At 37.8% G+C, this 15,966-nt stretch overlaps 1 long non-coding RNA gene and 2 pseudogenes across 2 annotated transcripts; 1 reads left to right on the top strand and 2 right to left on the bottom strand.

Moving 5' to 3' along the window:
- Nucleotides 1,194-11,937, bottom strand: PTENP1-AS (PTENP1 antisense RNA). Its single transcript, NR_103745.2, has 4 exons — nt 11,696-11,937; nt 10,918-11,115; nt 8,132-8,311; nt 1,194-1,446 (listed from the first exon to the last, which is right to left on the bottom strand). It is a non-coding gene; the product is annotated as a PTENP1 antisense RNA (long non-coding RNA).
- Nucleotides 6,482-6,935, bottom strand: TRBVAOR9-2 (T cell receptor beta variable A/OR9-2 (pseudogene); annotated as a pseudogene). The gene is given in 1 exon segment: nt 6,482-6,935. A coding segment is annotated over 1 exon segment (454 nt).
- PTENP1 (phosphatase and tensin homolog pseudogene 1) lies at nt 11,785-15,701 on the top strand (annotated as a pseudogene). The gene has a single exon (NR_023917.1). The product of NR_023917.1 is annotated as a phosphatase and tensin homolog pseudogene 1 (transcript).

Genomic DNA, 15,966 nt, shown 5'->3' with positions numbered 1-15,966 from the left:
CTATCAACCCAGTATTACTAAATCCTTTCTCTCAGTCCCTTAAAACTTGTCCAAGACCCCAAATCAGGAAGACAGATTTGAGCCAGCTCATGTCTCCTTGCTGACCAGTTTTGCAGTAAAACCTTTCTTTCCTCAAAAGCTGGTGCCATGGTTATTGGCTTCTGAGCATATCAGACAGCAAGCCCATTTACTTGATAGCACTACCACAAGGTTAGTGGCTAACAAAGAAGGCTCTGGAGAGATAGTGCCTGGGCTTAAATATGGGTTCTGCTACTTAAGCTCATTTTAGGCAAGTAAGTTAACTGTGAATGCTTCAGTTTTACTCTCTGTAAATTGTACTAATAAAAGTATGAACCTCATGGATTTGCTGTGAAGATTAAATGAATTAATGTGTTAAGAAGTTACAACTGCACAGTGTATAGTAATCACTCACTCAGGCTCAACTTCCAGAATGGTCAGCTAGTAGTAGCACTCTTACTGCTACCACCATTAGTTATGATTGAGTCTTATTCTTGTGCTAGGGATTGTGTCAGGCAGTTTACATACATTTTCTCAATTAAATAAAACTCACAGCCATGTGTGACTATTTCCATTTTATAGGCTAGGAAACTACCTTTAGAGAGGTTAAGTAACATGGCAAAACTAGATGGTGACTGGATCAGTCCAGTTCTAAAATATGTACTTTCAACTATTAATAATAAATTTTTCAAATATTCTATACCTTGCATTTTTAACTTTTTCTTTTTAGAGTTTGGCTGGAGGCTTCTTCAGAAATTATTTTCATTTTACTCTAATTCCCAAAACTGAAAATGCACTTAGCATGCTACCCTCTATGGCCTGAAATTCAAAATATCTTTTATTACCAGGTGTCATTGACTAGCTCTGTTTATTTTTTTCTGAAAACCTTGATGAGCACTCTTACAACAAGTGGCTTACTCAAACCCAGTTCTTTTATCTCAGAATTGGTGGATCTCTTTTCATGAGTGGCTTCTGTAAAATCCTTTATTTGTCCTCTTCTAAGTTCTATCCTTTGGTTGTCCTACTTCTTATTTCTAAACTGACTTCCTTCAGCATTTAGTATATCTTGAATGATTACAAACATTTCATTATCGTGCTGAATCATCCTTGAAATTTCACTGATATCTTCTTAGAAGAATGATGATATTGTCAACTGAAGAATGAGGAAGTTCAAATTTGGAAGGGAGAGCTTTATTTCTCATAAAGGGTTGCAGCCTGCAGTGTGGCCATTCTGACAGGCTGGGAAGCACAGCTCTGGCAAGAAGCCAGAAACAGACATGTCTAGGGAGGGGCAAAGGGAAAAGAAATACATGCTGAGTGGAATGGCCAAATATAGATATACAATAAGGTATAGGAGGAGTCATGAACATTAATAAAGGGAAAAACGTGTGCTTCCACAATTGAGTTTCCTGCTCCTTCATGGGACCCCTGTAAAAAAAAATGGCCATGTTAGCATGATCTGGGGGTGGAGTTTTCAGCTCTCTGACATCAAAAGGTGAAGCAAAGGACACCAAAAGCCTCACTACATGTCCTCCCTAGACTGGCCAGAAACACCGTTTGGTTGGTGGCCTCTTACCAGGCAAAAAGGAGGGGCAGCATCAGACTTTCTGTTGCTTTTAGGGATGGAGTCTTTTGAAAGGGCTGGTTTGTGTTTAGCCTTTAGGGAAGAAAACGTCATCACAGCTCCAAGGGAGAGGTATAATAAGGTGTGTCTGACCCCTCCATCCTGTCCTAGCCAAGAACTCAATGTTCAAGGTTACTCTGGGGTGCCCTTGTCCCAGAAATGGTCCTTTCAGTCAGTTGGTGGGTATAGGATTTTATTTTTACCTTACAATTCTGAAGAATTATGTCTTCTTAAATATATTTCCGTTTTAGGTAAATATTTCATCCAACCGAACGCATTTTTGTTTTAGCAATTTCTCTTCCTATTGGCTACAGTCTGCTTCCAATGGAGGGAATAATTTTAGGGAATGTAATTCTTGGAGTAATCCTGTAGTTTAATATGTAACATAATATTCTCCCACCTGCTGCTTTTTGTTGCAGCTGCCTCCTTGCTGAGATGGTGCTGGTGCATATGTTTATGTGTGTGAATCTGGGAGTAAGTTCACTTGAGGTTAGGGTCTGAGATGGGGAAAATAAATATGCTACTCGAGCCTTGTTATAAATAGAATAAATTCCAAATTGAAATTTCCTCAAGGGGTTTACTTCCTATGATCCTTTGTCTTTCCCTTCCTCTCAGGAGCAGGATTTAGTGTATTCCTGTGGCTTAGCAGAGGCGAAGTCCCACCCTGATGGCCCATTGAGTGTCAGTGAAGAGATTCGCCAAGGGAGTAGCTCTGCACTGACTCCAGAGATTGTTGTGAAGCACCTCACTGGAAGTCCCTGAAGTTGAGAGGTGTGGCATTCATAGAAATGAGCCAATGTAGAAGTTTAAGCCAACTGCATCTGCCTTTATATAAGGCATCATCAGAGTAGAGGTATTTTTATTCCTGTGTTCCTCTTCAGTATTTTCCACAGAGATTTTCTTCATCAGCCTCCTATTTTAACCTGCTTAGCAACAGGGCCCCCTCTTAACTAGGGAAGGGGGTTGAGACCTAAGACATGAGATAGTTAATAAATAATTCTGGGGTAAGTAGGAGATGGTGAGGTGTAACTGCAGGGTCAATTCCATAAAGGCATATTTGGGTCTTTCATATTATTGAGTAAATATACATCTATGTGCACCATAGTACTAGACTCTGGGATACAAGCATGAACAACAAAAAGAAGGTCTGTTCTCCCATGGGGACTTATAATTCTGTATTCTATATATCATTCCTAGTCCTACTACTGCAGTTACAAAGGTAAAAAGATTTACGGTCCCATCTTTCAAAGACCATACTTGCCTAGAAGGAGTCAGACACGACCAAAAAGCCATAATACAGTAACAGACTTTAAATTGTTGTAAACACATAGGAAAATAAACCTCCATATCTCCCTGGGAAGAAAGGACTTCACAGAGGTAGTGTGGGTTTAAGTAAGATTTGTAGGAAAATGAATAATTTCCTGGTAGACTAGGCTGGGGGACCAGCCTATGCAACATCTAAGAGAATATGATATTTTTGGAGTTTGCAAAGAGTTCAGTAAAGCTGGAGAGTATCCTTAAGAGACGGGAATGGCTGAAGAGGAGCGTAAATTTCCAGATAGGATTAGTATGTGTTCTCTCTCAATGCCTTTCTGAGACAGTATTTTCTACCCACCCCTTTCCCAGTGCTCAGGCCAACCCCATTGACTAATATAATGGATTTGATGAGTAAGTTTACTAATGTTGAACTACCCTTACCATCCTGGAGCAAACGCCAATTTGTAGGTTATTTTCTAATGTCATTATTTGATTCACTATTATCGAATACTTTTTTTTATCAATACTAATCAGTGATGTAAGTCTATAGATTTTTTTTTTTTTTGAGTTGGAGTCTTGCTCTGTTGCCCAGGCTTGAGTGCAGTGGCACGATCTTGGCTCACTGAAACCTCTGCCTCCCGGGTTCAAGCGATTCTCCTGCCTCAGCCTCCCGAGTAGCTGGGACTACAGGCACGTGCTGCCACGCCTGGCTAATTTTTTGTATTTTTAGTAGAGATGGGGTTTCACTGTGTTAGCCAGGATGGTCTTGATCTCATGACCTCATGATCCGCCCCCCCTTGGCCTCCCAAAGTGTTGGGATTACAGATGGGAGCCACCACGCCTGGCCGGTCTATAGATTTTTTTTTAAGGTGCAGTTTTGTTGAGTTTTGTTATAAATATTAAGGTCATGTCATGAAAATAATTTAGAAATTTCCCCTACTTTTCTATACTTTGCAATGTTTTAGGTATTCTCAAAGTCCCTGATTTTAAAAGGTGTGGAAAAATCCCTGTAAGAAACTATATGGGACTGGCGCTTTTCTGTGAGGAAATTCTATTACAAATTTATTTATTTCTTTTGTAGTCATTGTTTTGTTTAGGCTTTTTATCCACATTAGGGTCAGTTTTGTTAAATTTATAATGTGAGCCATTTCATTTAGGCTTTTAGGTTGTTTGCAGAGAATTATACAAAATATTGTTTTTAAAAATAGACTTTATCATACTTCCCCTTGTCACTTCTGTTTTAGTATATTTGTCCTCTCTGTCTTTTGGCTGGCAAACAATGATCTCATTTGCTTATTTCTTAGTTCTATCATTACAAAATTTTCTACCTTATTAACTTCTGCTTTTATGTTGATCAATTCCATTTTTTTGCTTCTGTCCTGTTCAGGATAAAAGTCTGAAATAAGTCTTTGGGGCTAAAAATCAAGGTGTTGGCAGGTGGTGTTCCTTTTGTAGGCTTTATGGGAGAATCCATTTCTTTGCCTTTTCCAGCTTCTAGGTGCCATCTGCACTACTGGGCTCAGGGCCCTTCCTCCATCTTCAAAGTGTCTGTCATTCTGATCTCTACTTCTGTTGTCACATAGCCTTTTTCTGACTTGCATCCTCTTGCCTCACTCTTACTACACTCATCGGACATAGTACTAGATTCTGGGATACAAGGATGAGCAACAAAGTTTTCTGCTCCTATCGGGCTTATAATTCTGTATCCAATATATTGTACCAAGTCCTACATACTGGATTTACAAAGGTAAATGAACATATAGTCCAATCCCTCAAAAACCATTCTAGTCTAGGAAGAGTCAGACATGACCATAAATATCATAACATAGTGATAGAAGTTGAAGTTTCTTTAATTTGTTATAAACACGTAAAGAAAGAAACCTCCATATCTGTCTGGGAAAAGAGAGAGGGCTTCACAGAGGTGGTGTGGTTTTGGTAAGATATTTTAGGAAAGTGTGTGACGATATTGGGCCCACTCAGCTAACCAAGGAAAACCTCCCCATTTCAAGATCCTTAACTTAATCACATCTGCAAAATCCTTTCAGCAATGTAAGCGAACATATTCATAATTTTCAAGGATTCAGATCTGATCATTTTGGGAGATTATTCTTCAGTCTACCACAATGTGAAAATCTCTAAATAATTGCAGCAATACTTTTGAGAGAGAAATGTTTAGATAGCTGAGATCATATCTTAGCTAGAGAGGCAAGAACTGATAAAACCCTGGTTTGTTCAATAAATATTTATAGAGCGCCTACTTTATTCAGAGCCTGTAATACTGTTGAAGATACAAAAATTAAACCTTGGACATGGTCTTGGCCTCATTGAGCATATTTTGTATTAATAATTTTTAAAACTATCATAATAAGTTAAGCAATGAAGTGTGTGATACTCTATGATTGTAGAAGCTCTGGATACCATGGGGTATTTACCACAGTTAAAGACTCAGGCCTAAACGGGAAGGATTAGTAGTACAGATAAATAGGGAGAGAAAGATTATTCTAAGTACTGTGAACAGCATATGTAAAGGCTCAGGAGTGAGTAAGAAAGTACATATGGAGCTAAGGGATTATGAATATTATTAGAGCATAAGTATGCAAAAAGTGGGTAAAGAGTAGGTGAATTTCACAAGACTGGATAGGTATGCAAGGGCCAAATCATGGAGGGTTTTAAGAATTTGTAGTTTGGAAGATTTTTATTTATTTATTTATTTTACAAAAAGAACTTACAGGCTAACATTTAGATATAAAGAAGACTGGTCATAACCCTAAAGTCAATGGAAAGGAAGTGTTTTCAGCTGCAGAGAATGAACTGAGTTAGAACAGAGAGTAAGACATCAGGTAGGTGGATATTTGGAAAGTGTTGAAGGAATTCAGGTGAAAGACAGTGGTTGCCTGAGCTAAGGCAGTATTGGTTGGGATAGAAAATAGTGGTTGAATTTGAGAGGTTTTAATAAACAGAAATGTTAAAGATGTGGTTATGGACCAATGTGGAAGAAGAGTGTGACAGCAGAGGGTGAAGATATTCTGGGGACTCTAGCTAAAGCAATTGAGTGAATGCTTATACCACTTAGGGATCCCAGTGAGGCAGAAGATGCATGTCACCACATACCTTAGGATGGGTTATTGTCTCAAGAAGCTAGAGAGCCAGGACTGGGACAAGGATGAGGAAAGGCATTGCAATGAATGTGTTTGGGACCTGAAGAGGGGATATCTTGTCCGAGGAGCAATAAACATGAAAGGGCAGAGTAAGGATCTTAATACATATAATTTAATCTCAGAAATAGAAAATGATGGAATTTGAACTGGCCATAGACTTAGGAACATTTTCTCGACTTCTGTACTCACTTGTACAGCACAAGGAGGTACAGGAAATATTGCCTTTTGAAGTCTGATGCAAGGTTGCTGCTCAGGTCAGACTTCACACACACAAAAAATCTTATGTTAAAGATTCTGGAAAGGTCTTTTCTCTCCTCCTGTGAAAGGTTCTTTCTCAGCATAGGGTGGCGCCTCTTGTGGTTGGACACTCCTCCCTTTGAGACTGCCATTTTGTGAGGTGAGCACATGCCTGTGCAGTGCTGTGGAGTGACGGCACAAGGACACAGGGACATCTGAAAGGGCTTTGCAGATTTCAGAGCCAAAGGGAACTTCTGTTTTTTGCCGGGAAATATTTTCAACAGGGATATGTCTCTAATCAACAATGTCAATGTTAACTGAATAATGAATCAGCTCTAATTCCAACCCTGATTCTTGTAGAAACCAGTATGAAATTATGGCACATATCCTGAGAACTCCTTTCCTGTCTCTACAATCAGGTGTCTTGGAGTCTAGGTGACTTCAGCTTCTATGAGCTGGGGTTTATGAGCAGAGGGCACAGAAGATAGAAAGAAAGCTGAGGAGAGAGCCTGATGCTGAAGTGTCCGTGAAGGAACCTGGGCTGTGGCCAGGCAAACTCAGAATAAGAATTTCACAAATGTTTCCAAGACTCACTGCCCCCAGGAAACAAAAGTACATGCAGGGGAGGAATATCCAGCTATCGTGGAATGAAGAGGTCAGCAAAGCTCCCCATAAAGTAAGTATAAAACTCAAACAATTCTCATCAAAAGGCAGGAATTTTCTTTTTTCCTTAGGAGTACAAGCTATTTGTTTCCATACCAAGAGTAAATCACGTTTTCGTGGCTTTCTGTGGGCTGTGAACAGTAATTTGAATTGAAATTTTATGCAAACACTTGTTTAATGCACATTTCAGTATAAGCCAAAATTACTATAATTTTGTTACTACAAAAATTTTTATATTATACCACTATATAAGCTTAGTTGAAAGCTATCTCATTACTTTATTTACTTATTTAAAATTGACAAATACAAATTATATATATTTATGGTATACAATGTGATATTGTGACATTTTGATATATGTATACATTGTGGAATAATTAAATCAAGCTAATTAACATATGCATTACCTCACATACTTACCATTTGGTTTTGACTTCTTTTGGTAGGAACATTTAAAATCTACATTCTTAGCAATTTTCAAGAGTAAATATATTATTAACTATAGTAATCACGCTGCATAATAGATCTCTTGAACTTATTTCTGATTAAAACATGTACCTTTGACCAACATTTCCCTATTTCCCATGCCTCCCTTCCTCAAACCACATCCCAGTGCTTGGCAATTACCCTTCTACTCTCTGCTTCTGTGGGTTTGACTTTGTTGGATTCCATGAATAAGTGAGACCATGCATTATTTGTCTTTCTGTGCCTGGATTATTTCACTTAGCATAATGTCTCCATGTTGTTGCAAATTATATGATTTCCTTTTTCTGTATGGCTGAGTAGTATTCCATTTTTTTTGTGTGTGTGTGTGTGTATGTATATACATATACATATAGAGAATATATATATACATATACAGAATATAAGTCATATATTCTTCATCTAGTCATCCATTGGTGGAAACCTAGGTTAATTCTGTATTTTGGCTGTGTGAATAATGCTTCAAGGAATATAAGAGTGAATATATTTCTTCAACATACAGATTTCATATCCTTTGAATTTATATCTAGAACTGGAATTGCTAGATTATATGGTAGTTCTATTTTTAATTTTCTGAGGAACCTCCATACTGTTTGTCAAAATGGCTGTACTAATTTACATTCTGGGTTCTCTAAAGGGACAGAACTAATAAGATAGATGAAGAGGAGTTTATTAGAGAGTATTTACTCACACAAACACAAGGTAAAGTCCCACAATAGGTCTTCTGCAAGCTGAGGAGCCAGGAAGCCAGTCTGAGTCCCAAAACATCAAAAGTAGGGAAGTTGACAGTGCAGCCTTCAGTCTGTGGCCGAAGGTCCAAGAGCCCCTGGCAAATCACTGGTTTAAGTCCAAGAGTCCAAAAACTGAAGAACTTGGAATCCAATGTTTGAGAGCAGGAAGCATCCAGCATGGGAGAAAGATGAAGGCCAGAAGATTTAGCCAGTCTAGTCCTTCCACATTCTTCTACTTTTATTCTAGCCATGCTGGCAGCTGATTAGATTGTGCCCACCCAGATTGATGTATATTAAATGCTATAAAAACATATACAAAATATATATTCCTTCTATGTGTGTTTATATGTGTGTATGTATTTTTTATATTTATTCACACATATGTTTATCCTTTAAGGTGCTCTTAATTTCTTACTATGGATTTTAGTTACTAACAATGTCATTTTCTCTCAGCCTGATGACTTCCTTTAATATTTCTTGTAAGACAGGTCTGCTAACCACAAAATTCTGTAGCTTTTGCTTATCTGGGCATGTCTTTATTTCATTTTCATTTGTAGAGGATAGTTTTGCTGGATAGAGAATTTTGGGTGGAATTTTTTTTTTCTTTCAGTGCCTCTCCATTATCTTCTGATCTCCATTGTTTGTGATTTAAAGTCAGGTTAATTGTATTACTCTTCTCTTTCACATGATGAGTCATTTTTCTCTTGTTGAGAACAAATATTGATTTCAGTATATTATTTGTGGATTTTGGCTTTCTGAGGTTTAACTATAATGTATCTAGACATAGATATCTTTGTGTTTACTGTGTTTGAGAGATGTTAAGCTTCTAGGTTCTTTTGATTAATCTTTTTCACAACTTTGAGAAGTTTGTGGCCATTATTTTTTCTTTATCTTTCTCTCCCTTCTCTCTTTCTGAGACTCCAATTTTACACATGTGGGTATACTTGATGGTATCCCACAAATCTCTAAGTTTAGTTACTTTTAGTGTAGAAACCATGTGCCTGTACAGCACTGTGGAGTAAGTCCTGGAGCCTAACAACAGAGTCCCAAAATACATAAAGTAAAAATGACAGAAATGAAACAAAAATAAACATATCAAAATTATAGTTGGTGACTTAAATCCTCCAGTCTGAAAAATTGATCACACCAACTAGACAGAAAGTAAATAAGGGTAAAAGTGACCTGAAAAACACTACAAAACTATTTGACTTAATTGATGATTTTACAACACTGTATTCAGCAACAGCAGAATGTACGGTTTTTCAAGTGCTCATAGAGTATTTCCCCATATAGATTATATATTATATAATAACGTACAGATAAGAGGATTAAAATAATTCAAAGTATATTCTCTCATCACAGAGGGATTTAATTAGAAATAAACAACAGAAAGAAGCTGGAAAAATCACAAATATTTGAAAATTAAACACATCACACTCCTAAATAACTTGTGGGCTTCAGAAGGAATTTCTAGAGTAATTATGCTTTTAACTAAAAAACCAAAAATATATCGATGTACATGGAACGCAGCCATAATTAAAGGGAAATGTATAGCTTTAAATAACTACATTAGGAAAACAACCACAAAAGTTTCCATCATAATCTAAACTTCTACCTGAAGACACTGGAAAAATAAAAGTCAACCAAAAGTAAACATAAGGAAGAAATAATAAAGATCAAATTAAAAATCAATTCAATAGAGAATAGAAAAACAATAGAGAAAATCAATGGAACTACAACCTGGTTACTTGAAACGCTATAAAATTGATAACACTTTAGTCAGACTGAACAAGATAAAAAGCAAGAAAATAGAAATTGCAAAGTCAGGAGTGAAAATGAAGAATACAATTAGTAACCCTATAGAAACATATGGAAATGTTATGAACAACACTATGTCAATGAATTTGACAACTTGGATGAAGCAGACATATTCCTAGAAAGACATAAGAGTAACTGAGAAAAAAAGCCACATGTCTGGATAGACATATTACAAGTAAAGAAGTATTTTAGTAAATAACACCATACAGAGAAGAGGTCAGCAAAATTTTTCTGTAAGGAGCTAGGTAGTAAATATTTTGGGCCATATGCAACCTCTGTCAGTTCTTTTTCTCCTATTCCTCCTCTTCCGTCTTCTAACACTTTAAAAGTATAAAATTTATTCTTAGTTTATTTATGAGTCATACAAATATAGGCCATGGCTTGACTTTAACATGTGAGCAATAGTTTATCACTCCATGTCATAGAGAAAAGCTCAGGACTAGCTGACTTTACTGGTAAATCCCATCAGATATTTAAATAATAATACCACTCCTACAAAAAAAAAAACTTTCACAAAATAAAGAATAAGATTATTCCTAAATTCATCCCAGTTCAGTCCACAATTTCCTAATTCAGCCTAACAGGTCAGAATTACTTTGATACTAATAAAAGAAATCACAAGAAAACTACAAACTAGTATGTCTATGGTCTCCATAAAATATTAGCAAACCTCATTTAGCAATATATAAAACGATTATATACTATGACCAAGTGGGATTTATCCTGCCAGTGGAAGATTGGCTTGACATCCAAAATCAACTAACGTAATATACCATATTAATAGAATAAAAAACATATCATATTATCTCAGTGTATGCAATAAAATAAATTTGACAAAATAACCTGTACCCAATCATAATAAAATCTCAACAAATTATGAACAGACTGAACTTTCTCATCCTGATTAACGGCATGAAAAAACACTCACCTTAAACATGAAAGCTTCAAAAGACTGAATGCTTTGCCTATAATTTTGGTAGCAAAGTAACAATGTCTGTTTTCACTACTTTTATTCAACCTTGCACTGGAGATATCAGACAGTACAGTCAGATAAGAAATTGCAATAAAAGGCTTCCAGGTTGGAAAGGAAAAAGTAGAACTCTTTTTAATCTCCGACTACATGATCCTGTATGTAAGAAAAACAAAAACAAAAACAAAACTCCTGTGAAATCTACGAAGAAACTTCTATAACTAACAAATCCATTTAGCAAGATGTCAGGATACAGTATGTATAACAAAAATCATATGTGTTCTAATACTAGTAATAATCCAAAAGTGAAATTAAGAAAAATATTTTTATAGTTGCAGTATAGAAAATAGCACTTTGCAATATATTAAACAACAGAAATATAAGACCTATACATAGAAAAAATATAAAATGCTGAGATAAGTTTTAAAAGATGAAAAAGAATGGAAAAAACATTCCATGATCATGGAGGACTCAGTATTGTTAAGATAGAAATTATCTCCAAATTTATCAATAAGTACACGGCAATCCTTGTCAAAATTCTAGTAGTACCTTTTGTAGAGATTGACTAGCTGATCCTAAACCTATATGGTGATACCTAGGACTTGAATAGTCAAGGCAATTTTGAAAAAGAAAAACACAATTAAAAGACTTACACTAGCCAATTTTAAAACATACGATAAAGCTGCAATAATCAACAGAGTGTGGTATTAACATAAGATCAACATAGATTACGAACCTAGAAGATGCTCTCCTCTCAGAAGCTGCAGCCGTGATGGAAGTTTGAATGTTGAGCCGCTGTGAGGCGAGGCCGGGCTCAGGCGAGGGAGATGAGAGACAGAGACGGCGGCGGCGGCGGCGGCCCGGCCCGGCCCGGCCTGAAGCCCCTCTCAGCAACCCGTGAGCATCCGCGGGGGCGGCGCCGGCAGCGGCGGCGTTTCTCGCTTCTTCTTCGTCTTTTCTAACTGTGCAGCCTCTTCCTCGGCTTCTCCTGAAAGGGAAGGTGGAAGCCGTGGGCTTGGGCGGGAGCCGGCTGAGGCGCGGCGGCGGCGGCACCTCCCCCTCCTGGAGCGGGGGGAGAAGCGGCGGCGGCGGCGCCCCCGGTGGCCCCGGCGGCTGCAGCTCCAGGGAGGGGGTCTGAGTCGCCTGTCACCATTTCCAGGGCTGGGAACGCCGGAGAGTTGGTCTCTCCCCTTCTACTGCCTCCAACACGGCGGCGGCGGCGGCGGCGGCGGCGGCACATGGAGGGACCCGGGCCGGTTTTAAACCTCTCGTCCGCCGCCGCCGCACCCCCCGTGGCCCGGGCTCCGGAGGCCGCTGGAGGAGGCAGCCGTTCGGAGGATTATTCGTCTTCTCCCCATTCCGCTGCCGCCGCTGCCAGGCCTCTGGCTGCTGAGGAGAAGCAGGCCCAGTAGCTGCCACCATCCAGCAGCTGCTGCCGCAGCCATTACCCGGCTGCGGTCCAGAGCCAAGCAGCGGCTGAGCGAGGGGCATCAGCTACCGCCAAGTCCAGAGCCATTTCCATCCTGCAGAGCCCCGCCACCAGCAGCTTCTGCCATCTCTCTCCTCCTTTTTCTTCAGCCACAGGCTCCCAGACAGGACAGCCATCATCAAAGAGATCGTTAGCAGAAACAAAAGGAGATATCAAGAGGATGGATTCGACTTAGACTTGACCTATATTTATCTAAACATTATTGCTATGGGATTTCCTGCAGAAAGACTTGAAGGCGTATACAGGAACAATATTGATGATGTAGTAAGGTTTTTGGATTCAAAGCATAAAAACCATTACAAGATACACAATCTTTGTGCTGAAAGACATTATGACACCGCCAAATCTAATTACAGAGTTGCGCAATATCCTTTTGAAGACCATAACCCACCACAGCTAGAACTTATCAAACCCTTTTGTGAAGATCTTGACCAATGGCTAAGTGAAGATGACAATCATGTTGCAGCAATTCACTGTAAAGCTGGAAAGGGACGAACTGGTATAATGATTTATGCATATTTATTACATCGGGGCAAATTTTTAAAGGCACAAGAGGCCCTAGATTTCTATGGGGAAGTAAGGACCAGAGACAAAAAGGGAGTAACTATTCCCAGTCAGAGGCGCTATGTGTATTACTATAGCTACCTGGTAAAGAATCATGTGGATTATAGACCAGTGGCACTGTTGTTTCACAAGATGATGTTTGAAACTATTCCAATGTTCAGTGGCGGAACTTGCAATCCTCAGTTTGTGGTCTGCCAGCTAAAGGTGAAGATGTATTCCTCCAATTCAGGACCCACACGATGGGAGGACAAGTTCATGTATTTTGAGTTCCCTCAGCCGTTACCTGTGTGTGGTGATATCAAAGTAGAGTTCTTCCACAAACAGAACAAGATGCTAAAAAAGGACAAAATGTTTCACTTTTGGGTAAATACATTCTTCATACCAGGACCAGAGGAAACCTCAGAAAAAGTAGAAAATGGAAGTCTATGTGATCAAGAAATTGATAGCATTTGCAGTATAGAGCGTGCAGATAATGACAAGGAGTATCTAGTACTTACTTTAACAAAAAATGATCTTGACAAAGCAAATAAAGACAAAGCCAACCGATACTTTTCTCCAAATTTTAAGGTGAAGCTGTACTTCACAAAAACAGTAGAGGAGCCGTCAAATCCAGAGGCTAGCAGTTCAACTTCTGTAACACCAGATGTTAGTGACAATGAACCTGATCATTATAGATATTCTGACACCACTGACTCTGATCCAGAGAATGAACCTTTTGATGAAGATCAGCATACACAAATTACAAAAGTCTGAATTTTTTTTTATCAAGAGGGATAAAACACCATGAAAACAAACTTGAATAAACTGAAAAGGGACCTTTTTTTTTAATGGCAATAGGACATTGTGTCAGATTACCAGTTATAGAAACAATTCTCTTTTCGTGACCAATCTTGTTTTACCCTATACATCCACAGGGTTTTGACACTTGTTGTCCAGTTGAAAAAAGGTTGTGTAGCTGTGTCATGTATATACCTTTTTGTGTCAAAAGGACATTTAAAATTCAATTAGGATTAATAAAGATGGCACTTTCCCATTTTATTCCAGTTTTATAAAAAGTGGAGACAGACTGGTGTGTATACGTAGGAATTTTTTCCTTTTGTGTTCTGTCACCAACTGAAGTGGCTAAAGAGCTTTGTGATATACTGGTTCACATCATACCCCTTTGCACTTGTGGCAACAGATAAGTTTGCAGTTAGCTAAGAGAAGTTTCTGAAGGGTTTTGCTGCATTCTTGCATGTATTTGGGTTAGGGGAATGGAGGGAATGCTCAGAAAGGAAATAATTTTATGCTGGACTCTGGACCATATACCATCTCCAGCTATTTACACACACCTTTCTTTAGCATGCTACAGTTATTAATCTGGACATTCGAGGAATTGGCTGCTGTCACTGCTTGTTGTTTTCGCATTTTTTTAAAAGCATATTGGTGCTAGAAAAGGCAGCTAAAGGAAGTGAATCTGTATTGGGGTACAGGAATGAACCTTCTGCAACATCTTAAGATCCACAAATGAAGGGATATAAAAATAATGTCATAGATAAGAAACACAGCAACAATGACTTAACCATATAAATGTGGAGGCTATCAACAAAGAATGGGCTTGAAACATTATAAAAATTGACAATGATTTGTTAAATATGTTTTCTTAATTGTAACGACTTCTCCATCTCCTGTGTAATCAAGGCCAGTGCTGAAAGTCAGATGCTATTAGTACCTACATCAGTCAACAACTTACACTTATTTTACTAGTTTTCAATCATATACCTGCTGTGAATGCTTCATGTGCTGCCTGCAAGCTTCTTTTTTCTCATTAAATATAAAATATTTTGTAATGCTAAAAAAAAAAAAAAGAACATAGAAGACAAACATCAGAAATAAACCCATCCACTATGGTTAACTCATTTTTGAATATGGTGTAAAGTCAGTTTAATGATGAAATAATATTATTTTCAACAAATAGTACAGAAATTAAACTATGCAAAAATACTATTAATAATGATGTTGGATCATTACCTCACACCATACCCCCAAATTAACTCAGAACATGGCATACACCAAATATAAGAGCAAAAACTATGAAATTTCTAGAAGAAGACAGAAAAAAAATTATGACTTTGGCTTAGTTGTTTCTTAGAAGTAACAGGAAAAGCATAATTCATAAAAGATAAATTGAAAAATCGGACGTCATCAAAATAAAAAATGGTTTATCTTCAAAGTCACCTGTTAAGAAAATGAGAAGACAAATCATAAAGCAGGGAGAAATTTTTGAAAGTCATGTATCTGATAAGGGACAGTTAAAACTAAATAAAAACACAAACCATCCAATTAAAATGAATAAAGGGTTCGAATAGGTATGTCATCAGAGATCATATAGGAATAACCAATAAGCAAACAAAAGATGTTCAATATCATTAGTTATTAGAGAAACAAAATTTAAAAACCACAATGAGATGACACTACACATTTGCCAGAATGATGATTATTAAAAAAGACCAAGTATTGGAGAGGATGTGAAAAAACTGGAACCTCACACATTGACGATAGAAATGTAAAATGAAATAGCCAATTCAGAAAACATTTTACAAGTTTTCTTTGTTTTTGTTTTTAATTTATTATACCCTTACCCTATGACTCAGTAATTCCACTTCTAGATACCTACCAAATAAAATTAAAGTTTATAACTTCACAAAGATTTATTTATTTTATTTTTTATTTTATTATTATACTTTAAGTTCTAGGGTACATGTGCACAACATGCAGGTTTGTTACATATGTATACATGTGCCATGTTGGTTTGCTGCACCGATTAACTCGTCATTTACATTAGGTATTTCTGCTAATGCTATCCGTCCCCCACGCCCTCACTCCATGACAGGCCCCGGTGTGCAATGTTCCCCGCCCTGTGTCCAAGTGTTCTCACTGTTCAATTCCCACCTATGGGTGAGAATATACGGTGT

The sequence above is a fragment of the Homo sapiens genome, chromosome 9 (assembly GCF_000001405.40).
Source record: "Homo sapiens chromosome 9, GRCh38.p14 Primary Assembly".
Classification (NCBI taxonomy): Eukaryota; Metazoa; Chordata; class Mammalia; order Primates; family Hominidae; genus Homo; species Homo sapiens.
The sequence above is the reverse complement of the archived record's forward strand: the minus strand, read 5'-3'. Positions and strand labels throughout refer to the sequence as shown.